Genomic DNA, 24,668 nt, shown 5'->3' on the forward strand with positions numbered 1-24,668 from the left:
CTTCCTTACACTTTACACAAACATTAATTCAAGATGGATTAAAGACTTAAATGTTATACCTAAAACCATAAAAACCCTAGAAGAAAACCTAGGCAATACCATCCAGGACATAGGCATGGGCAAGGACTTCATGTCTAAAACACCAAAAGCAATGGCAACAAAAGCCAACATTGACAAATGGGATCTAATTAAACTAAAGAGCTTCTGCACAGCAAAAGAAACTACCATCAGAGTGAACAGGCAACCTACAGAATGGAAGAAAATTTTTGCAATCTGCTCATCTGACAAAGGGGCTAATATCCAGAATCTACAATGAACTCAAACAAATTCACAAGAAAAAAACAAACAACCCCATCAAAAAGTGGGCAGAGGATATGAACAGACACTTCTCAAAAGAAGACATTTATGCAGCCAAAAGACACATGAAAAAATGCTCATCATCACTGGCCATGAGAGAAATGCAAATCAAAACCACAATGAGATACCATCTCACACCAGTTAGAATGGCACTCATTAAAAAGTCAGGAAACAACAGGTGCTGGAGAGGATGTGGAGAAACAGGAACACTTTTACACTGTTGGTTGGACTGTAAACTAGTTCAACCATTGTGGAAGTCAGTGTGGCGATTCCTCAGGGACCTAGAACTAGAAATACCATTTGACCCAGCCATCTCATTACTGGGTATATACCCAAAGGATTATAAACCATGCTGCTATAAAGACACATGCACACGTATGTTTATTGCGGCACTATTCACAATAGCAAAGACTTGGAACCAACACAAATGTCCAACAAAGATAGACTGGATTAAGAAAATGTGGCACATATACACCATGGAATACTATGCAGCCATAAAAAATGATGAGTTCATGTCCTTTGTAGGGACATGGATGAAGCTGGAAACCATCATTCTCAGCAAACTATTGCAAGGACAAAAAACCAAACACCGCATGTTCTTACTCATAGGTGGGAATTGAACAATGAGAACACATGGACACAGTAAGGGGAACATCACACACCAGGGCCTGCTGTGGGGTGGGGGGAGGGGGGAGGGATAGCATTAGGAGATATACCTAATGTTAAATGAAGAATTAATGTGTGTAGCACACCAACATGGCACATGTATACATATGTAACAAACCTGCACGTTGTGCACATGTACCCTAAAACTTAGAGTATAATAATAATAAAAAAGACATAATACATAAGATGATTATTTTTCCTTAAAGGATGGTATAAGCATTTATGTACAACCACTAGTATAGTATAAAAGGCAATAACATATTGTCTCAATAATATTGCCACACATTTTTACTGTACATTTTCATACAGTAATAGATCAGGTAAACTAACTTGAATTCAGTACTACCAAATAACAAATTTGGGTGGATTTAATGCATATATTAATATATTTTTACATTGAAGTAAAATGCTCAGATTACGAATCATTTTCCTGTTTAAGTGTTGTTTTTCTTAAGCTTGTTATTAAATTCTAAAAATAATAAGAATTTTGTTATTGATAAATCATTACCATTCATTTATTATTTCACTCAAACATTTATTGAGTTTATACTAGGTACCAGATACCTGTGCTATGCACAATGACTGCAATTTAATATGCAGCTTAACTAGAACAGAAAAATACTACAGAGGAAATGCAGTAAAAACACATGTTGTGGTTAGAAATGCTTTTAATACTTTCCTGATAGTTGTTATGAAGAATTTTTAAAAAACATTTTAAATGGTTACTCAGTCTGTATTGCCCAAGACATTAAGTATTGCCTTAGTTCTATCTCCACTTACTGAAGCCCTACTATGCACATGGCATTGTGCTAGAAAGAAAAGTAAAGATTAATTTAAAGTCCATGTTCTGTCTGTGCCTGGTGGCTCACCGTCTGTAATTTCAGCGCTTTGGGAGGCTGAGGTGGGAGGATCGCTTGAGGCCCGGAGCTTGACACCAGCCTGGGCAACGTAGTGAGAACTTGTCTCTATGAAAAATGATAAAAAATAATTGCTAGGCATGCTGGTGCACAGCTGTAGTCCCAGATACTTGAGAGGCTAAGACAGAGGATCACTTGAGCCCAACAGTTCGAGGTTGAGCCATGATTGTGCCATGCACTTCAGCCTGAGTGACAGAGTGAGACCCTGTCTCTAAAATAAAATAAGTCCCTGTTCTTGCACTAATGTCTAGTGCAAGGCAAAAGGAAGGTAAATGTGCCCAAAAGTAGATCCATAAATTGTTAGAGGCATGATGTTACAAAAATGCACAGGTTATAATAGAAACATAAAATAGGGAAATAAGAGACTTTTCTACTTGAGAGTTGGCTGTTTTCAGAGAATATTACATAGAGGAGATGAAGACAGACAGGGAGTAAGATAAGAGTAGGAAAGACCCGAGGGTAAGAGTACAGCAAAAAAACAAAGTGACATACAGAGTGTAACATTTCTATATTATAAAGTTGTTGATTTTTCCTGTTTTCTTAAAATCTCACCACCATCTGAGCAGAAATAGTTTAAGTTAATACATTATAGAGCTCATGATAAACAAAATGAACAGCCTGGTTCCAGACTTCTATTCTGTAATAATTTTATTAAATGAGAAGATAATAAGAAAATACCTTGAAATTTTTGAAGGGAAATGTTATGTTATTGTTCCATAATTGTAGTTCACAAAAGTTCTCTTTATTTTGCAGAGGCAAAGTCAATTTTTTTTTCTGGTATGTAAGGTCTTCAGAAATAAAGTATTGATTTATTTTTCTCTTTAGAAAATAATTAAAATTTCCACCAAGTCGTTTTAGAGATGAATTAAGAACCAAGAATGGAGAGACTATGGTGAAAAGTGACTGCAGTTTTTTTTCTTACTTAATTTTGATTCCAAATTCCAGAAACCAGTAGGATTTAGGTATCCTCATGTTTTTAAAGCCAAGTGGTGAAGCTAGATTTTATATTAAGTACTATTTAAGACTTTATATTAAGCTTGGATCCTGTTTTGTAACTTCAAATTTTGTAGAATCACGAAATATATTATATATATTATATAAATACTTACGTAATCATATGTTTATATTTTACAAATATTTATTATTATATAAATATAATAAAATTGCATCCAAGCTTCAAATAGAACACATAATACTGTTGTTTGTAGCCACTTGAAGCAGTAACTAGCTTTTTTTCCATTCATGAACTTACTGAAATTGACTATAATATTTGCATAGTTTGGAGTCTACAAGAATAATTACCAAGTGTTTGTTCTTGTTTATCCCATTTAGAAAGTTAGAGCTGAGTTGGGCAATTTAAAGGTCACTTCCATGTAGAGAAACTTGAGAAATGATTTTTTTCTTTATCTTTAAAATTCTTCCTGAACAAGCATAATATGTATCAAAAAACCTCCACATATTATCTTGCATCTAAGACCTCTAAATGTTCTTATATGTTTAATATGTAAAACTTTAACTATGAAAAAAATGTATACAGAGAAAGATTAAAGAACTACAATGACATATTAATAGTGATAGTATGCATTTTGTACAATTATGGATGTTACTTTTTTCTTTATACCTTTCTATATTTTGTACTTTTTAAAATATGCATATACCCATTAACCATCCCTTCTTTCCAGCTTCAGGTAATCATCATTCTACTCTGTATATGCGTAAATAACGTTAAACTGGAATACAGAATAGAATGATGGTTCTACTTTTGACTCTTCCTTTTGTCTTTTCTCAATTAATACATTTTTTTTTCTATTTCAAAAATATGCATATAGCTTATATTTGGAACAATGCATTTGAAAAACTCCTAAAATTCTGTATATATTATCAAAATTATGCAAAAAATATAGAGCAAAAATTCTGGAAGGGACTAGTTCTAAAGTTAAAAATTGTCTTCTAAGCCTAACAGGGTTTTGTTTCTTTCCCTTTCTATTTTGTAAAATTACTGCTCTTACATTGATTTTATAGAAGATATAATTTTCATTTATATAAAGACTCTTAAAGTTGCACTCTAACATCTGAATTGACAAATCAGGCCACAAAACTGTACATCATAGTGCATGAATGACAAGTAATTTCAGGTTAACTCAAGGTGGTAATTCAAGTTTAAGAAGAAAGATGTCATTGGCGATAATTCAGATAAAAGAAGAAAAATGTCATTAACTATCCTACAGCCTACTCCCAATGAGATTGAAGCAGTCATTTCCATAGTCAAATGGTCAAATGTGAAGAATAAGTATCTGTGTTCTAGGGACATTTATAGTAATGGTATAATTAACATTTTAAAAATGCATTTTAAAGTGTCAATTCCCTTTATTCGAGTTATCACATTTTAAAAATTTCTAATACCCGAACTAGTTTTTTTTTTCTATTTTCAGCCTCTTAAGTTTAGGATTAAACCTTGTTATATTAACAACTATATGACAATCTTGATTCATTTGGCTTAACTTCGGATGAAACCAGAATTCAAATGTCTTTTCCTCTTGGTCACAGATTCCTTAAAGTAAATTATCAAGTGATTTTTATAAATAAATAACTGAATTTAAAAATAGAAATAACCTAGATTTATTACCAGGTCCCTAAATATAATTTTTATACCAATATTTCAGCTTATCTTTTTTTCAATTCCCCCCATGGTATAAATTACTTATTGATTAGGAAATAAGTTATGGTTTGAGAGCATAATAAAAATCTGCAATGAAAAACTCTTTTTAGAAAGAAATTAATAATTTCAACAGTGAAAATCAATTTTCCTATGTTCAATCTTGTAATCTATTTTGCATTATTTCCCTTGTGTAATCGAAACATCATTGATTCATGGCATTATGTAGATAATAAACTAAAATGAAAGAATTACATAAAGTATATTTCTCTATGGCTATTCCCTAGCAGTCTCATACTAAAATACTTAAATTTCTATATTCAATAACTAAAGATGTCATGAGAGAATTAAACAGTTTTAAAAATTTATCCATTGTTGAAAAGCTCATAAAACAATATTTTTTATATGTTGTTTCAAATATTTATAACATAAAGATAGGGAAAATAGGCTATTAATAAAAGCTATGAAGAAACACTAAAATTCTAAATTCTAGGGGAACTTATTTTATGAAAGGCTGTGGGACTGTCTACATGCATTATCTATTTTAATCCTCCTAGGACTCCAATTACTAGATATTATCATATCTATTTATTTATTATGGAAAAAATGAAGCTTTCAGGGATGTTTAATGAACTTTTCCAGGATTTCATAACTATTGGGACGAGGTGTATCTGACTCCCCAGACTGTGGTGTAAGACATTATGCTATGTTGTCTCTCTTCAAACAGTGAAAGTAATTAATCATCAACTCAATATTAATGCTTAGGGTTCCTGATATATACATACATATATGTTTTTAAACTGCTAAATGGTTCAATATTAGTGAATGTACAATGATACATTATGATTAATACTTATAATACTATAGATACATCCTGCAGTTATGATGGTGTATTTGTGTCACCTGTCCTGAAATTTCATGTTCTTGCTAACACCGAAATTTTTAAAAATACTGTGGTAACAAAGTAAGTGTCCAAGTCCTATTCATAAGGAGTGGGGATATAAAATAAGAACAATTTTACTTTTATTTTTAATTACATAAGCAATGCAAGAATGTAGAAAAAATAGAAGCAGTTGAATGTTCTCCTCTACTCCCATCACTGTAATTCCTACTACTGATTACCATTGCTGCTATAGTTTGGTTTTTTAGGACCTTTTCTCTGCATGTGCATGCACATGCACACACACACAGACACACACACAAATACTAAACACACACACACCTATTTAAAAATAACACATACGTTGAACCATATCATGTTTTTGTTTCTTTCACTATATCTTGAAAATCTTTCCATATCAGCACAAATAGATTCACTTTATTTTTTCAAATTGCTGAATAGTCTAGTTGAAACATGTTTTTATTTAACCCACTCCCTTAGTTCCAAATACTATCTTACAAAAATGATGCAATTAAAATTCATATAAGATATCTTTGTGCCTAATTTTTTGATATAAATATATTAGTAAAATTGATGGGTCAAAAAGTAGTCTCATTTATGAGAGATACTTCCAGCTCCCCTTAGTCTTGTAATATATTCTTGTGTATTGACTGTAACATTACAAGTAGTTCAGTGTTTATTTTCTGCATTTCAAATAGATCTTCCCCCAGTAAATTTAAGCAGATCTGAGATATTGCTGTTGACAGCTTAGTTAAATGAGCTTTCTCAGCTCTTCCAATCTGTGTGTGTATAATTTCTCTAGAGTCCAGAAGATTACTAAAAGGGATCCTTTTCAATTAAAGTAGCAACAGTGAAGCATTTGTGTATCGTACCATTTACTAAGTGGAAGGTAATCCTCATAGAAAATACACATGTTGCAATCTATTTGGATTTCATTTCTAAAGTCATTATTAACTAGTTCTCAGTATACTATAAGTAGGTCCACATTCTAAAAGGAAAAATAGTGACAACACATAACTACAATGAATCATTATTAGGAAATCTTCAAGAAATAACGAATTTTTCACTATCACAGTGTACCTCACTTCATAAGCAAACTGAACATACAGTGTCATAATAGAAGAGGAAAGGGCTACCTGGAGACCTCTGGGAAGCACATTCATGGGTATTTTCCTGGCTGTTGGCTCTTCTGATAACTAAACTTTTGCTGTATTCCATGTTTTCTCAAAGACAATGGCTGCGACTAAGTTAAAATATCCTAGCATAAAGCATTATTTAAAGATAATTTAAAATTTTTATATTTTAAAGTAATTTTGTTACATTTTTATTTTAAAAATTATAATTTTCTGTTTTATTGGCTACTCTAATATTGAATGTTTAATTACTTAGATCAAATGTTATAGTATGATGTACTATATTTCTGGCCCAGAGAACAGAATAGAAAAAATTTATTTTAAAATACACATGGTTTTTCATGAAATTCATATGATGAAAAACATTAACATAAAATATAGGTCAATATACACTACAAAATTATAACTATTTTATCTGATTAAGAATTGTGGTCCAGTTAAAATAGTTTGGTTAATGAGAAATTATCCATTTTAAAGTCACATTTTGGAGTTTATGTGAATACATGTAATGCTGAAATATGTTAAGCATAATTTAATATGTCATGGTTTATCAAATAGTTCAAAAGCTTTCAATGCCCCATGGCCCTCATTATAGCTTTTACTATAATGTTCCAGAGATCTAACTAATTTCTAAAGTTCACTTCACTTTGCTAAATTCATCATTGAAATAACAGTGATGATCCATCATTTCATTTTTTCTAAAAAATATATTTTATATATACAGTAATTATTTATCATCAGTATAAAATATTATAGATCATAATAGCTTCTCACCAACATAATATTGTATTTTATACATTTTCCATTGACCTAAGTTGTATACATTCTCCAGGCTTTGAAAATCAAGTGTATCTAGTCAAGAAAGTATCAAACACATGCTGTTAAATCTTCCATCAACTACCTTTTCTAAATAATACCTTGCATCTTCTGGATCCCTTTGCCACACTCCTCTGCACAGTCTTTCTTACAACAAATCTGACCATGTCCTTCCCAAGCATGAGACGTTCCAAGATTCCATCTGCTGATGGAAAAAAGTTCAAAATCTTTTTCATTATTATTAAAAGCTCCTATTACCTTCTCTTGCCCTAGTAATTGACAGCATTCCCAACACCATGCCCTTTGTCTGCTGACATACGTTGAGCTCCTCATCATGGCAGGGCAAGTGATGCTGTCACTATGAAGTATTGCTGATTTCTCTCCTATAGGTAAGAAGTGATCAACACTTTTTTGGGGTCTGGTGTCTAACTTGTAGTTTGTCCATCACATCACTTTTAACATTTTCTTACTCTTATTTCTTTACACAACTTTTTTTTCCCCAGATAAACTCTGGGCTCATTGAAGGCAAGAAATTAGGCCCAGGTGTACCTCAGAAATGTTCCCTAACAGTTTTGATTAAAATTTTAATTGATAAATTTACCATTTGAGAACACAGACAAAGCCATCTCTTTAATTAAAATTTGAGAAAGCTTTAGTAGAACATCAAGAAAATTGTTTCTGGTAATAATACACTATGGTGCTATTCTGTCAGCTATGTTGTGTGGAAAAATCAGGTTAGGTTTTGATCCTGGTTCCTAGAGATTATAAAGATTGGGGGTAGGATTACCTTATTAAAACAAAAGCACTGAGAAAGTAAATAAGTGGGGGAAATCCATATTATGACTAAGAAATGATATAAGATATCTCATTACATATTCCAATTATCTATATTTTCACTGTACATGTAATTATTGTGCTTACTATTTTATTGTTTTATCAAACTGGAGTAGTATGCACTGTCTTCTCTATTTTCTAATTATTGTTTACAGTATTTATTATCGAGATGGTCTTTTGACTGACATTTATAAAAGATTGAAATGATTAAAGACAAAATATAGTAAAATGCCTGATGCTATTTAATGGACAATGTTATAAGCAGTAAAGCCTGATGATCTCCGATATTATATACATAACCATCATATTTAGCTTTTAGTGTGTGCCAGGCTCTGTGTAAGAAGTTTACATCTTTCTAATTTTCATAGAAAACTTGTTATATGTCAATATCAGATCAAAAAAGACAGAGTCAAACTCTAGAGTGAGTCATGGGAAAGAAAGGAGTACTAAACATCAGTGTGCAGCCAATTTGAGTGTAAGGCTGGATCTACTCTCACGAGAAAAACTGTAACAGAAAGGTTGCTGATAAAATACTGACCTTACTATGCTTTTTAAACAGTACATTTAAATACATACAAACTTATGTAAACTGGTTGGACAGAGATCTAACATGCTAAAAACCAGCAGAGTAAAATCTTTTTACAGTATGAGAATGAGAATACAAACTTCTGTTTCAGCTTCTTTCCTTAGTCACAATTTCCTGCCTTAAAGAAAATGTCAGACGGCTGGGTTCCCCCAAAAAAGTAGAGAGGAGAACCTGCTTAAATATTTCTTGACCATTATAAATTAATTTATTATTTTCTCTATTTTCATTTTCTTCAACAAGGAGGGAGCTACTCTTCTAATTTAATACTGTTGCCCATGATATTAGTGATGACACTTTATTTATACCTAATGAGGAACTTTACAGGATAGATGTATTGCAATTAGATCCTGTCTCAGAGTTTTCTCTTTATTCGTTGATGAATGTGTGTAATTCAAGAACATTAAAAACAACTGTGAAAGTATAATTATTACAGAGGAGAAAGTGTCTGGGGATTAATTTTATTACATATAACCATATTTGGAGGGACAGTATAGAAACAGTTATTTAATAATAAACATTAAGTTTCTTAACAACAAGTAGCAATTGACTTAGGCAAATGCCTATTAAAAAGAGCACATTAAAAATCAAGTAAAAATTACATCAAACACATTTTTTTTCCTGTGTTGGGAATATCGTATTTCATGACAAAGACTTATAAATGAAGGAAGAAAAGAGATGGCAATAGGTGTGGGTCGTGCCATTTTACAAGAGAGACACAGGAGTCTCAGCGATTGAAATAATTTTCCCATGTAGATACAACTCTTAAGTGACAGAATAAAATTTGTACTTAGGTTTGTACATTTGGAATCTCATGCCAACTGGTTAAAAAAATTTATGTGAACAATTTGTATGATGTTTATGTGTATAGAATGACACTGGAGTTGAAATCAGTATGATTGTGGAATTGAAAAGACGACAGTATATGCCAGAAATCTTCACTTTATAGCCTAAATATGAGATGATGCCTATACTATGGCTTAATGTTAGTGAGTATGACTACATGTACAGAGTTCTACATGAGATAAAACACATTAAATGAAAAAGTTCACTGGTACACTTGTATCAAAGACCAACAATAAAAAACACTGAAAAGGTTTACTAGTATCAAGCACTTGTTGAGAAATCTATTAGGTGTAAAACATTGGATTGGGACTTTTTAAAAGGAGGTTAAAGAGGCAAGACTGAAATTTGATTAGTATATATATTTATGCATTGTTCCCAATGGAATATTACTTATATTCTAATCCAGAAGGAATTGTTTATCATTTACTCAGTAGTTCAAAGCACATTTTATTATTAAATTATGCAAAATGGGCTAAAACTGATAATCACAGAATATTCAAGCCAGAAAAAAATGTAAAGATTATTAGTTCAATTACAACTTTATGCAGAAGAAAAATTCAATGCCAAAATAATCCAAGTGACCGATTTAATTTGTTATTGATAGGACAAAGACTAGCTGAAGGTTTCTTGAAGTTTGATGTAGTATATCTGAAAGAATGCAAAATTGTGCTTAGAGTCTACGGTGATAGTGTTTCATGTAACCATTACATTTAGTCACCAACAAAAGCATAAAACACATATAATCAAATATGGGAGTAGTAGCATGTTGGTGCCACACTTAAGATTGACATTCTGTCTCAAACTGAATCTATCATAGTCAGTGGTTCTCTTCACATTATAAATAATTTTTTTTTTCTTTTGAGTACAAAATGTAGTCAACTTGGGTTTCAAAATTATGTATGAAATACATGCATCTTAAGCACTAGAATCACAGTGTGGTAAGAGGTTAAGTAGGAACTAATAATAACTGAGTGAATAGTAGATTCACATCCCACATTTAATTTTCAGGGTCACAGTGGGATAAACCAAGTGAAACGATGGCCAAAATGGTCTGCATAGAAATTTATATAAAACATTATTTCCGTCTCTGCTGCATTCTTTTTCTCTGGTTTTGCTGACCTTTTATAGTGGTATTTATTTCAGTTAAATTTGCTTACATTGTTCTTACACTTTAATGCATGAGAGTAAAATATTACATAAATATTTAAAGAGTCAGACTAGATTATGAATATGTATGAATATATTAACATCAATAACAAAGCAATATATCAGTTGGAAAAAGACATGAAAATAGGAATTTTATTACAACACCTGCAATGTTCAAATGATGTAAGGTTCACAAAAATAGCAACCAGAAGGAAAATCAACGTTCTAGCAGCATTGATGTGGTCTACACAGTATGCAAAAATGGAGCAATTTCAGATAAGTTTCTGGATTTCTCTTGAAATCTTTGCAATTGTGTTTTTACTTTATTCAATTTTATTTATTTATATATTTACTTGTTAACTTTTATCTTAAGTTCAGGGGTACATATGCAAGTTTGTCTTATAGGTAAATTGTGTGTCTCTGGGGTTTAGTGTAGAGATTATTTCATTACCCAGGTAATACGCATAGTACCTGATAGGTAGTTTTTTGATCCTCATCTTTCTCTTACCCTACACCTCAAGTGGGCCCTAGTGTCTGTTGTTCTCTTATCTGTGTCCATATGTGCTAAATGCTTAGCTCCCACTTACAAGTGAGAACAGGTAGTATTTGGTTTTCTGCTCTTGTGTTAGTTCACTTAGGATAATGGCCTCCATCTCCATCTGTGTTGCTGCAAAGGACATAAACTCGTTGTTCCTTATGGCTGTGTAAGATCCTGTGGTATATATCTACCACGTTTTCTTTATGTATTCTACCACTGATGGACATTTAGATTTATTCCATGTCTTTCCTTTTGAGAACAGTGCCACAATGAATATATGTGTGTCTTTATGGTAGAATGATTTATTTTCCTTTGAGTATATACCAAATAATAGGATTGCTGGGTTGAACGGTAGAATTACCATTTTGAGATATTTGAGAAATCGCAACACTGCTTTCCACAGTGGCTGAACTAATTTACATTCCTACCAACAGTATACAAGCGTTCCCTTTTCTCTGCAACCTTGCCAGCATCTGTCATTTTTTGACTTTTTAATAATAGCCATTACGACTGGTGTGAGTTGGTATCTCATTGTGAGGTTGATTTGCATTTCTCCAATTATTAGTAATGTTGAGCATTTTTTCATATGTTTGTTGGCCATGTGTATGTCTTCTTTTGAAAAGTGTCTGTTTGTGTCCTTTGCCCACTACATAATGGGGTTGTTTGTTTTTTGCTTATTAATTTGTTTAAATTCCTTATAGATTCTGGATATTAGACTTTTGCTAGAGGCATAGTATGCAAACATTTTCTACCATTTTTTGGTTGTTTGTTTAACTCTGTTGATAGTTTCTTTCACTGCGCAGAAGCTTTTCAGTTTAATTAGGTCCCATTTGTCAATTTTTGTTTTTGTTGCAATTATTTTTAGCATCTTTGTCATGAAATCTTTGCCAGGTCCTATGTCCAGAATGGTATTTCCTAGGTTATCTTCTATAGTTTATATCATTTTAGGTTTAACATTTAAGTCTTTAAATCATCTTGAGTTGATTTTTGTATATGGTGTAAGGAAAGTGTCTATATTTAGTTTTTGAAATATGGCTAGCTAGTTATCCCAGAACCATTTGTTGAATAGGGAGTCCTTTCTCCATAGCTTGTTTTTGTAGACTTTTTTCAAGGTCAGATGGTTTTAGCTGTGCAGCATTATTTCTGTGATCTCTATTCTGTTCCTTGGTCTATGTGTCTGTTTTGTAGCAGAACCATGCTGCTTTGGTTGCTCTATCCCTATAAGTATAGTTTTAAGTTGGGTAATGTGATGCCTCCATCTTTGTTCTTTTTGCTTAGGATGGCCTTAGCTATTCAAGCTCTTTTTTATTTCATATGACTTTTCAGATAGTTTTCCCCCCTTAGTTTTGTAAAGAATGCCATTTGTAGTTTAATACTTGAATCTTTAGATTGCTTTGGGCAGTATGGCTATTTTAAAATATTGATTCTTTCTATTAATGAGCATGGAATGTTTTTCCATTTGTTTATATTGTCTTTGATTTCTTAGAGCAGTATTTTATCTCTCACTGTGGAAGTATTTCACCTCCCTAGTTAGCTGTATTTCTAGGTAATTTTTTTTCTTTTTGTGGCTATTGTAAATGGGATTGCATTCGTGATTTGGCTCTCAGCTTGGATGTTCTATAGAAATGCTACTAATTTTGGTACATTTGTTTTGTATCCTGAAACTTTGCTGAAGTTGTTTATCAGATCAAAGAGTTTTGGGGAAGAGACTATGGGGTTTTCTAGGTATAAAATCATATTCTCTGCAAAAACGGATCGTTTGACTTCCTCTCTTTCAATTACTATGCCTTTATTTCTTTCTTTTGCCTGATTACTCTGGCTAAGACTTCCAGTACCATGTTGAATAGGAGTGGTGAAAGAGGGTATCCTTTTCTTGCTCCAGTTCCCAAAAGCTTCCAGCTCTTGCCCTTTCATTATGATGTTGGCTGTGGGCTTTTATTTTATTTTTTGATGGCTCTTATTTTTTTAATATATTCCTTCAATACGTAGTTTGTTGAAGGTTTTTAATATGAAGGAATACTGAATTTTATTGAATGCTTTTTTCTGTATCTGATGAGGTGATCATGTGTTTTTGTTTTTAGTTCTGTTTATGTGACAAATCACATTTACTGATTTGCATATGTTGAACCAGCCTTGCATCCCAGGGACGAATCCTGATTGATAATGCTGGATTAGCTTTAGACGTGCTGTTGGATTCAGTTTGCTAGTATTTTGATGTGGATTTTTGCATCTGTGTTTACCAAGGATATTGGCATGAAGTTTTCTGTTTTCATTGTGTCTCTGCCAGGTTTCAGTATCAGGATGATGCTAGCCTCCTAGAATGAGTTAGGAAGGAGTCCCTTCTCTTCAAATTTTTGGAATAGTTTCAGAAGGAATAGTACCCACTCTTCTTTATACATTGGTAGAATTTGGCTGTGAATCCATCTAGTCATGGGCTTTTTCTGATTTATAGGCTTTTTATTACTGATCTTATATTGGAAGTCATTGGTCTCCAGGGATTCACTTTCTTTCTGGTTCAATTTGGGAGGTTATATCTCTCAGAATTGACCAATTTTTTTTCCAGATTTTCTACCTTGTGTGCATAGAAATGTGCATAGTAGTCTCTGAGGGTTTTTTGTTGTTGTTTTTTTTAAATTTTTTTTTATTATACTTTAAGTTCTGGAGTACATGTGCAGAAAGTGCAGGTTCATTGAATAGGTATACATGTGCCATAGGGGTTTGCTGAACCCATCAACCTGTCATCTACATTAGATATTTCTCCTAATGCTATCCCTACCCTAGCCCCCGACACCCCAACAGGTTCCGGTGTGTGATGTTCCCCTCCCTGTGTCCATGTGTTCTCATTGTTCAACTCCCACTTATGTGTGAGAACATGCAGTGTATGGTTTTCTGTTTTTGTGTTAGTTTGCTGAGAATGATGGTTTCCAGCTTCATCCATGTACCTGCAAAGAACATGAACTCATCCTTTTTTATGGCTGCATAGTATTCCATAGTGTATATGTGACACATTTTCTTATCTAGTCTATCACTGATGGGCATTTGAGTTGGTTCCAAGTCTTTGCTATTGCGAACAGTCCCACAATAAACATACGTGTGCATGTGTCTTTATAGTACAGTGATTTCTAACCCTTTGGGTACATACCCAGTAATGGGATTGCTGGGTCATATAGTATTTCTAGTTCTAGATAAATTGCCACCGTCTCTTCCACAATGGTTGAACTAATTTACACTCCTACCAGCAGTGTAAAAGCATTTCTATTTTTCCACAACCTCTCCAGCATCTGTTGTTTCCTAACTTTTTAATGATCACCATTCTTACTAGCATGAAACAGCATCTTGGTATCTCATTGTGGTTTTGCTTTGCATTTCTCTAATGACCACTGATGATGAACTTTTTTTCATGTGTTTGTTGGCTGCATAAATGTCTTCTTTTGAGAAGTGTCTGTTCATATCCTTCACGCACTTTTTGATGGGGTTGTTTTTTTCTTGTAAATTTGTTGAAGTTATTTCTAGATTCTGGATATTAGCCCTTTGTCAGATGAATAGATTGCAAACATTTTCTCCCATTCTTTAGGTTGCTTGTTCACTATGGTGATAGTTTCTTTTGCTGTGCAGAAGCTCTTCAGTTTCATTAGATCCTATTTGTCAATTTTGGCTTTTGTGGCCATTTCTTTTGGTGTTTTAGTCATGAAGTTTTTGTCCATGCCAAAGTCCTGAATGGTATTGCCTAGGTTGTCTTCTAGGGTTTTTATTGTTTTAAGTCTTATATTTAAATCTTTAGTCCATCTTGGGTTAATTTTTATATAAGGTGTAAGGAGGGAACCCCATTTCAGCTTTGTGCATATGGCTAGCCAGTTTTCCCAACACCATTTATTAAATAGGGAATCCTTTCCCCATTGCTTGTTTTTGTCAGGTTTGTTAAAGATAAGATGGTTGTAGATGTGTGGTGTTATTTCTAAGGCCTCTGTTCTCTTCCATTGGTCTATATATCTTTTTGGTACCAGTACCATGCTGTTTTTATTACTGTAGCCTTGTAGTATAGTTTGAAGTCAGGTAGTGTGATGCCTCCAGCTTTGTTCTTTTGGTTTAAAATTGTCTTGGATATGCAGACTCTTTTTTGGTTCCATATGAAATTTGAAGTAGTTTTTTCCAATTCTGTGATGAAAGTCAATGGTCGCTTGCTGGGGATAGCATCGAATCTATAAATTACTTTAAGCAGTGTGGCCATTTTCACGAAATTGATTCTTCCTCTCCAGCCCCATGGGCTGAGACGATGGGGTTTTCTAAATATACAATCATGTCATCTGCAAACAGAGACACTTTGACTTCCTCTTTTCTTAATTGAATAGCCTTTATTTATTTCTCTTTCTTGATTGCCCTGGCCAGAACTTCCAATATTATGTTGAATAGGAGTGGTGAGAGAGGGCGTCCGTGTCTTGTGCTGGTTTTCAAAAGGAATGCTTCCAGTTTTTGCCCATTCAGTATGATATTAGCTGAATCTTATTATTTTGAGATACATTCCATCAATACCTAGTTTATTGGGAGTTTTCAGCATGAAGGACTGTTGAGTTTTGATGAAGGCTTTTCCTCATCTATTGAGATAATCTTGTGGTTTTTGTTATTGGTTCTGTTTATGTGATGGATTACATTTATTGATTTGAGTATTTTGAAACAGCCTTGCAACCCCAGCACGAAGCCAACTTGACTGTGGTGGATAAGCTTTTTGATGTGCTGCTGGATTCGGTTTCCAGTATTTTATTGATTTTTGCATCAATGTTCATCAGGGATATTGGCCTGGAATTGTCTTTATTTGTTGTGTCTCTGCCAGGTTTTGGAATTAGGATGACCCTGGCCTCATAAAATGAGTTAGGGAGGTGTCCCCCTTTTTCTATTGTTTGGAATAGTTTCAGAAGGAATGATACCAGCTCCTCTTTGTACCTCTGGTAGAATTTGCCTGTGAATCTGTCTGGTCCTGGACTTTTTTTGGTTGGTAGGCTATTACTGCCTCAATTTCAGAACTTGTTATTGGTCTATTCAAGGATTCAACTTCTTCCTGGTTTAGTATTGGGAGGGTGTATGTGTCCAGGAACTTATCCATTTCTTCTAGATTTTCTAGTTTATTTGCGTAGAAGTGTTTATAGTATTTTCTAATGGTAATTTGTATTTCTGTGAGATCAGTGGTGATATCCCCTCGATCATTTTTTATTGCATCTATTTGATTCTTCTCTCTTTTCTTCTTTATTAGTCTGGCTAGCAGTCTATCGATTTCGTTGATCTTTTCAAAAATCCAGCTCCTGGATTCATTGATTTTTTGAAGAGTTTTTCGTGTTTCTATCTCCTTCAGTTCTGCTCTAATCTTAGTTACTTTTTGCCTTCTGCTAGCTTTTGAATTTGTTTGCTCCTGCTTCTCTAGTTCTTTTAAATGTGATGTTAGGGTGTCAATTTTAGATATTTCCTGCTTTCTCTTGTGGGCATTTACTGCTATAAATTTCCCTCTACACACTGCTTTAAATGTGTCCCAGAGATTCTGGTATGTTGTGTCTTTGTTCTCACTGATTTCAAAGAACATCTTTATTTCTGCCTTCATTTCATTATTTACGCAGTAGTCATTCAGGAGCAGGTTGTTTAGTTTCCATGTAGTTGTGCAGTTTTGAGTGAGTTTCTTAATCCTGAGTTCTTATTTGATTGCGCTGTGGTCTGAGAGAGTGTTTGTTATTATTTCCATTCTTTTGCATTTGCTGAGGAGTGTTTTACTTCCAATTATTTGGTCAATTTTAGAATATGTGGGATGTGGTGCTGAGAAGAATGTATGTTCTGTTGATTTGGGGTGGAGAGTTCTGTCGATGTATATTATATATGCTTGGTCCAGAGAGGATTTCAAGCCCTGGATATCCTTGTGAATTTTCTGTATTGTTGATCTGTCTAATATTGTCAGTGGCGTGTTAAAGTCTCCCACTATTATTGTGTGGGAGTCTAAGCGTTGGGGTGATCAGACCCAACACCAGGTCATGGGGGTGACGAAGTCCAGTGGAGTCAAAGGAATGGGAAATGACAGTTTGAGAGAGAATGTGGGTCCAGGGGGCCAATGCTACTATGGAGGCTGTGAAGGCCCTGAGCTCTGGAAGCCCACACTTTTTATTGGTGATCAAACAAAGAAATAGGTGGTGAGAATGTGGGGGTCGAAAGGGCAAGTGCATGATCTACAGGTGTGATGGTTTAGCATTTCCTTTGAAGCATATGGGACATATTCTGCTAGTTGAGATAATGGGGAGCATGTTCTTCTAGTTTAAGCTAGAAGCAAGGAGCCAGCAAGTCTAGACTCATTCCAGATGCCACGAGCGGTTTATGCCCTGAGCCCTGGACATTATGTCAGACATGCAAGCCCTGTCTCAGCTTTTTTCCCAACATTTAGCTTTTTCCCAACACTAAGTCTCTTTGTAGGTCTCTAAGAACTTGTTTCATGAATCTGTGTGCTCCTGTATTGGGTGCATATATATTTAGGATAGTTAGCTCTTCCTGTTGCATTGATCCCTTTACCATTATGTAATGCCCTTCTTTGTCTCTTTTGATCTTTATTGTTTCAACCCTTGCTTTATTTATTTATTTATTTATTTATTTTTTTGCTTTCCATTTGCTTGGTAAATATTCCTCCATCCCTTTATTTTGAGCTTATATGTGTCTTTGCATGTGAGATAGGTCTCCTGAATACAGCACACCGATGGGTCTTGACTCTATCCAATTTGCAAGGCTTTATCTTTTAATTGTGGCATTTAGCCCATTTACATTTAAGGTTAATATTGTTATGTGAGTTTGATCCTGCCTTTATAATGCTAGCTGGGTATTTTGCCCGTTAGTTGATACAGTTTCTTCATAGTGTTGATGGTCTTTAAAATTTGGCATGTTTTTGCAGTGGCTGGTACCAGTTGATCCTTTCCATATTTAATGCTTCCTTCAGGAGCTCTTGTAAGGCAGGCCTGGTGGTGAGAAAATCTCTCAGGATTTGCTTGTCTGCAAAAGGTTTTTTTTCTCCTTCGCTTATGAAGCTTAGTTTGGGAGGATATAAAATTCTGTGTTGAACATTCTTTTCTTTAAGAATGTTGAATATTGGCCCCACTCTCTTCTGTCTTGTAGGGTTTCACTGTTAGTCTGATGGGCTTCCCTTTGTGGGTAACCCAACCTTTCTCTCTGGCTGCCCTTAATATTTTTTTCCTTCATTTCAACCTTGGTGAATCTGATGATTATGTGTCTTGGGGTTGCTCTTTTCGAGGAGTATCTTTGTGATGTTCTCTCTGTTTCCTGAATTTGAATTTTGGCCTGCCTTGCTAGGTTGGGGAAGTTCTCCTGGATAATATCCTGAAGAGTGTTTTCCAACTGGGTTCCATTCTCCTCATCACTTTCAGGTACACCTATCAAATGTAGATTTGGTCTTTTCACATAGTCCCATATTTCTTGGAGGCTTTGTTTGTTTCTTTTTACTCTTTTTTCTCTAATCTTGTCTTCTCACTTTATTTCTTTGAGTTGACCTTCAATATCTGATATCCTTTCTTCCACTTGATGGATTCGGCTATTGATACTTTTGTATGCTTCATGAAGTTCTCGTGCTGTGTTTTTTCAGCTCCATCAGGTCTTTTATGTTTTTCCCTAAACTGGTTATTCTAGTTAACAATTCATCTAACCTTTTTTCAAGGCTCTTAGCTTCCTTGCAGTTGGTTAGAACACGCTCCTTTAGCTCAGAGGAGTTTGTTGTTACTCACCTTCTGAAGCCTACTTCTGTTAATTTGTCAAACTCATTCTCCATCCAATTTTGTTCCCTTGCTAGCAGGGAGTTGTGATCCTTTGAAGGAAAAGAGGGGTTCTGGTTTTTGTAATTGTCAGCCTTTTTGCATTGGTTTTTCGCTTTCTTTGTGGATTTATCTACCTTTGATCTTTGAAGTCAGTGACTTTAATTTGGGTTCTCTGAGTGGATGTCCTTTTTGTTGATGTTGATACTATTCCTTTCTGTTTGTTAGTTTTCCTTCTCACAGTCACATCCTTCTGCTGCAGATCTGCTGGAGTTTGCTGGAAGTCCACTGCAGACCCTGTTTGCCTGGGTACCACCGGCAGATGCTGCAGAACAACCAAGATTGCTGCCTATTCCTTCCTCTAGAAGCTTTGTCCCAGAGGGGCACCTGCCAGATGCCAGCCCATTACAGAGCTCTCCTGTATGAGGTGTCTGTCAGCCCCTACTGGGAAGAGTCTCCCAGTCAGGATTCACAGGGGTCAGGGACCCACTTGAGGTGGCAGTGTATCCCTTATCAGAGCTCAAACACTGTGCTGGGAGATCTGCTGCTCTCTTCAGAGCTGCCAGGCAGGGAAGTTTAAGTCTGCTGAAGCTGTGCACCCAATCACCTCTTCTCCCAGGTGCTCTGTCCCAGGGAGGTGGGGCTTTTATCTGTAAGTCCCTGACTGGGGCTGCTGCCTTTTTTTCAGAGATGCCCTGCCCAGAGAGGAGGGAATCTGGAGAGGCAGTCTGGCTGCAGTGGCCTTGCTGAGCTGTGGTGGGCTCTGCCCAGTTCGAACTTCCCCATGGCTCTGTTTGCACTGTGAGTGTAAAACTGCCTACTTAAGCCTCAGCAATGGCGGAAGCCCCTCTCCTCACCAAGCTTGAGTGTCCCAGGTAGAGTTCAGTCCCAAGCCAGACCACTTGGCTCCCTGGCTTCAGCCCCCTTTCCAGGGCAGTGAATGATTCTGTCTCACTAGCATTCTGGGCACCACTGGGGTATGGAGAAAAAACAAACAAACAAACAAACAAAAAAAAAACTCCTGCAGCTAGCTCAGTGTCCGCCCAAACTGCTGCTGAGTTTTGTGCTGTAATCCGAGGATCCTGGTGGTGTGGGCACTGGAGTGAATCTCCTGGTCTGTGTGTTGCGAAAACCATGGGAAAGCACAGTATCTGGGCCGGAGTGCATGGTACAGTCCTAATGGCTTCCCTTGGCTAGGAGAGGGAGTTCCCCGAGCCCTTGTGCTTCCCAGGTGAGGCGACGCCCCACCCTGCTTCAACTCACCCTCCTTGGGCTGCATCCACTGTCCAACCAGTCTCAATGAGATGAATCGGGTACCTTAGTTGGAAATGCTGACATCACCCACCTTCTGCATTAATCTGGCTGGTTGCTGCAGACCGGAGCTTTTCTTATTCAGCCATCTTGCCCATTTTTTTTTTTCCTGTTAGCTCAGTGGTAATGTCCCATTTACCATTTCTGATTGTGTTTATTTGGATAGTCTTTCTTTTTTATTAGTGTAGCTACTTGTTTGTCCATCTTATTTATTCTCTCAAAAAACAAATTCCTAATTTTGTTGATTTTTTTTTATGGTTTGTGTGTCCCCAGTTCCTTCAGTTCTGATTTTGGTTATTTTTTGTCTTCTGCTAGCTTTGAAGTTGAGATACTTTGCTGTTGTTTCTGCAGTTCCCCTAGGTCTGATGTTATGTTATTAATTTTAAATCTTTCTAACTTTTGATGTGGCTGTTTAGCACCATAAGTTTCCCTCTTAACATTACTTTTGCTTTGTCCCAGAGATTCTGGTATGTTGTATCTTTGTTCTCATAAGTTTCAAAGAATTTATTGATTTCTGCCTTAATCTCATCGTTTACCCACAAGTCATTCAGGATTAGGTTGTTTAATTTCCATGTAATTACATGGTTTTGAGTTATCTTCTTAGTATTGACTTAAATTCTTATAGTGCTGTGGTCTGATTCTGTGGTTAGTGTGATTTTGCTTTTTTAGATTTTCCTGATAATTGTTTTATGGACAATTATGCAGTCAATTTCAGAGTATACCCGTGTGCACGTGAAAAGAATGTATATTCTGTTGTTTTTGGGTGGAGAGTTCTGTAGGTGTCTATTAGGTCCATTTGGTTGAGTTCAGGTCCTGAATATCTTCGTTAGTTTTCTGCTTCGATGATCTCCCTAATGTGCTCTGTGGGGCGTTGAACCCTCCTCCTGTTATTGTGTAGCTATCTCACTCTCTTCATAGGTCTCAAAGCACTTGCTTTATGAATCTGAGTGTGCCTGTGTTGGGTGTATATATATTCAGGATAATTAGGTCTTCTGTTGAATTGATTCCTCTACCATTATGTAATACGCTTCTTTGTCTTTTTTGAACTTTGTTGGTTTAAAGTCTGTTTTGTCTGGAATTAAAATAGCAATGCCTGCTTTTTTGTTTTCCATTTCCTTGGCAGATTTTTCTCCATCCATTAACTTTAATCCTATGGATGACACTGTATGAGAGATGAGTTTCTTGAAGACAGCATATCATTGGGTCTTGCTTCTTTATCCAACCTGCCACTTTGTGCCTTTTAATTCAGGCCTTTAGCCTGGTTACATTCAAGGTTAATACTGATATGTGTGGATTTGATCCTGTCATTGTGTTGTTAGCTCGTTTTTATACAAACTTGTTTGTGTAGTTGCTTTATAGTGTCAATGGTTTCTGTAGTTAAATGCGTTTTTGTTGTATCTGGTTGCAGTCTTTCCTATCCATATTTGGCACTACCTTCAGGACCTCTTGTACAACAGGTCTGATGCAAGGAATTCCCATAGCATTTGCTTGTCTGAAAAGAATCTTACATGTCCTTTGCTTATGAAGATTAGTTTGGCTAGATACAAAATTCTCTGTTGGAATTTCATTAAGAATGCTGAATGGGAGTTCGAGGTGGGCAGATCACAGGGTCAGGAGATTGAGACCATCCTGGCTAACACGGTGAAACCCCATCTCTACTAAAAAAAATACAAAAAATTAGCTGGGCGTGGTGGCAGGCACCTGTAGTCCCAGCTACTCGGGAGGCTGAGGCAGGAGAATGGTGTGAATCCAGAAGGCAGAGCTTGCAGTGAGCCAAGATCATGCCACTGCACTCCAGCCTGGGCAACAGAGCAAGACTCTGTCTCAAAAAAAAAAAAAAAAAAAAAGAATGCTGAATATAGGCCCCCAATATTTTCTGGCTTATAGGGTTTCTGTCAAAAAGTCTGCTGGTAGCCTGATGGTGTTCACATTGCAAGTGACCTTCTCTCCAGCTGCATTTAACCTTTCTTCTTTCATTTCGATCTTAGAGAATCTGATGACTATGAGTCTTGGGGATGGTCATCTTATGTAGTATCTCACAAGGGTTCTCTGCATTTTCTGAATTTGAATATTGTGTCCTCTCTAGTGAAGTTGGGGAAATTTTCATGGGTGATACCATCTGTATTAGGGTTCCTAGAGAGACAGAACTAATATGATAGATGTATATATAAAAGGGAGTTTATTAAGGAGTTTTGACTTAACACAGTCACAAGGTGAAGTCCCACAATAGGTCGTCTGCAAGCTGAGGAGCAAGTCAGTCCAAGTCCAAAACCTCAAAAGTAGGAAAACTAACAGTGCAGCCTTCAGTCTGTGACAGAAGGCCTGATAGCCCCTGGCAAACCACTGGTGTAGGCCCAAGAGTCTAAAAGCTGAAGAACTTGGAGTCCAATGTTCAAGGTCAGGAAGCATCCAGCAGAGGTAAAAGGAGGTCAGAAGACTCAGCCAGTCTAGTCCTTCCACATTCTTCTACCTGCTTTTATTCTAGCCACACTGGCAGCTGATTAGACTGTGCCCACCCAGATTGAGAATGGGTCTGCCTTTCCTTGTCCACTGACTCAAATATTAATCTCCTTTGGCATCACCCTCACAGACACACACAGGAACAATACTTTACATCCTTCAATCAAATCAAGTTGACACTCGATATTAACCATCACATCCTCCAATATGGTTTTCAAGTTGTTTGCTTTCTCCCCCTCTCTTTCAGGGATGTCAATGAGTCAATAAATTTGGTCTCTTTACATTTTTGTATCACTTAGAATACTTGAATTGGGTTTTGACTTTCTCCTGAATCTTCTTTCCTGTCCATGATCTGAATTCTACTTCTGTCATTTCAGCCATTTCAGCCTTGTTAAGAACCATTGCTGGGGAACCAGCGTGGGTCATTTTGAGGTGAGAGGACACTTTAGTTTTTTGAGTTACCAGAGTTCTTCTCTGGTTTTTTCTCATCTGTGCAGGCTGATGTTTCTTCAATCTTAGAAGTTGCTATCCTTTGAATGGGTTTTGTTGCTTTTATCTTCTTTGTTGCCCTTAAGGGTTTGATTGTGGTCTAAGGTGGTTTCAGTTGACTGGATTTCTTTCTGGAAGATTTTAGGGGTCTAAGGCTCAGTTCAGCATTCTTGAGCTGTGTGCTCTAACTTTGAGGGAATGATCCCAGGCTCCCAGCTTTGTTCTCAGGACCCTCAAGGTTAGGAATCTGTGGTTCTGGAGGGGCTGAGCTGTTTCCAGACTGCAGTCCATAACAATCCCATGGATGGTGCCAGCCAAAGTGCTTTGTCTGAGTGGTGATAGAAGAATTCATGTTTGTTTGCACATGCCAGCAGCAGTGGCAGCATGGTGGGTTACATGTTCATTGGTCGGGCTGGGATGCTGGTGGGTTTGCGGCTGCCAGCTTCTGTGCACATGTTTGCTCTGTGGGCAGTAGTGTGAGGGGATGCATGCACACACATATTCTGGCAGAGGAGGGGAGGCAAGGTCCACTCGCATGTGTGCACGCTGGAAGGACAGTGGGGTGAGTGACAGTGGGCAAGTGAGTGCTGGCAAAGCAGCATGGGGGAGGCTGTGGTCAGGGGAAGGGGCAGGTGAGCTGGTATGTGTTAGCAGCAGCCGATCTGCTGGAGCTCTCTGATGGTCAGGCACAGTCAGCTGTTGAAGGAGCTATGATGTGGGCCCCTGGGAAGCACCTTGGTTGTCTATCCATCACTTGCACTGCAAGTGGGCTCTGCCAGGTTGGGGCCCTGGAGCAGACCTAGCTATGTTTTACTGCAGACGTTCCCACACCATACCCCGTGAGTTCAGCACAGGATAGAGTCCTGCTCCTATCAACTCTCTACACAGCTTTCCCTGCTAGCTCAAGTGTCCATGGGTGTTGTGGTATCTCAGGTTTCCAGGATTCCAGAGGTTCATGGTGAGGGCAGGTTGCTCCTCACCTGTTCAATCCACCCCTTCCCCAAGAGTTGTTGGGGGCCAGGAATAAGTTGTGGTGCATGGTAGTCCCGTTCAGGGTTCCCAGCCTCCTCCTCCTTTGGCCCAGGGTCTGTGTCCTCCTTCTGTCCACCCTCAATGCCTTCCCTCTGAAGATCTGCTCATAGTGCACCAGTTTTCCCTATGTCTCAGTCACTTGGTGGCAGATGTTCCTCCTGGGTGTGTCTGGTCAGGCATCTTACTGAGACAACCTTCTTTT

At 36.5% G+C, this 24,668-nt stretch overlaps 1 protein-coding gene across 11 annotated transcripts in view; it reads right to left on the bottom strand.

Moving 5' to 3' along the window:
- MGAT4C (MGAT4 family member C) overlaps positions 1-24,668 on the bottom strand; it is an 883,334-nt gene that overhangs the window by 64,890 nt on the left and 793,776 nt on the right. Inside the window, exon 3 of one of the 11 annotated variants that reach the window (NM_001351289.2) lies at positions 1,893-1,988. The exons of 8 other annotated variants lie outside the window; for them this stretch is intronic. Coding sequence is in view for 2 of the 3 variants with exons in the window: in NM_001351284.2 (NP_001338213.1) it covers positions 7,548-7,628 (81 nt within the window). In the remaining variant the exon portion in view is untranslated. Of the gene's footprint in view, positions 1-1,892; positions 1,989-7,547; positions 7,652-24,668 lie in introns of all 11 variants that reach the window. 2 more of the 11 variants (NM_001351284.2, NM_001351283.2) reach the window with 2 other exon arrangements.

Source organism: Homo sapiens, chromosome 12, assembly GCF_000001405.40.
Source record: "Homo sapiens chromosome 12, GRCh38.p14 Primary Assembly".
In the NCBI taxonomy this organism is placed as follows: Eukaryota; Metazoa; Chordata; class Mammalia; order Primates; family Hominidae; genus Homo; species Homo sapiens.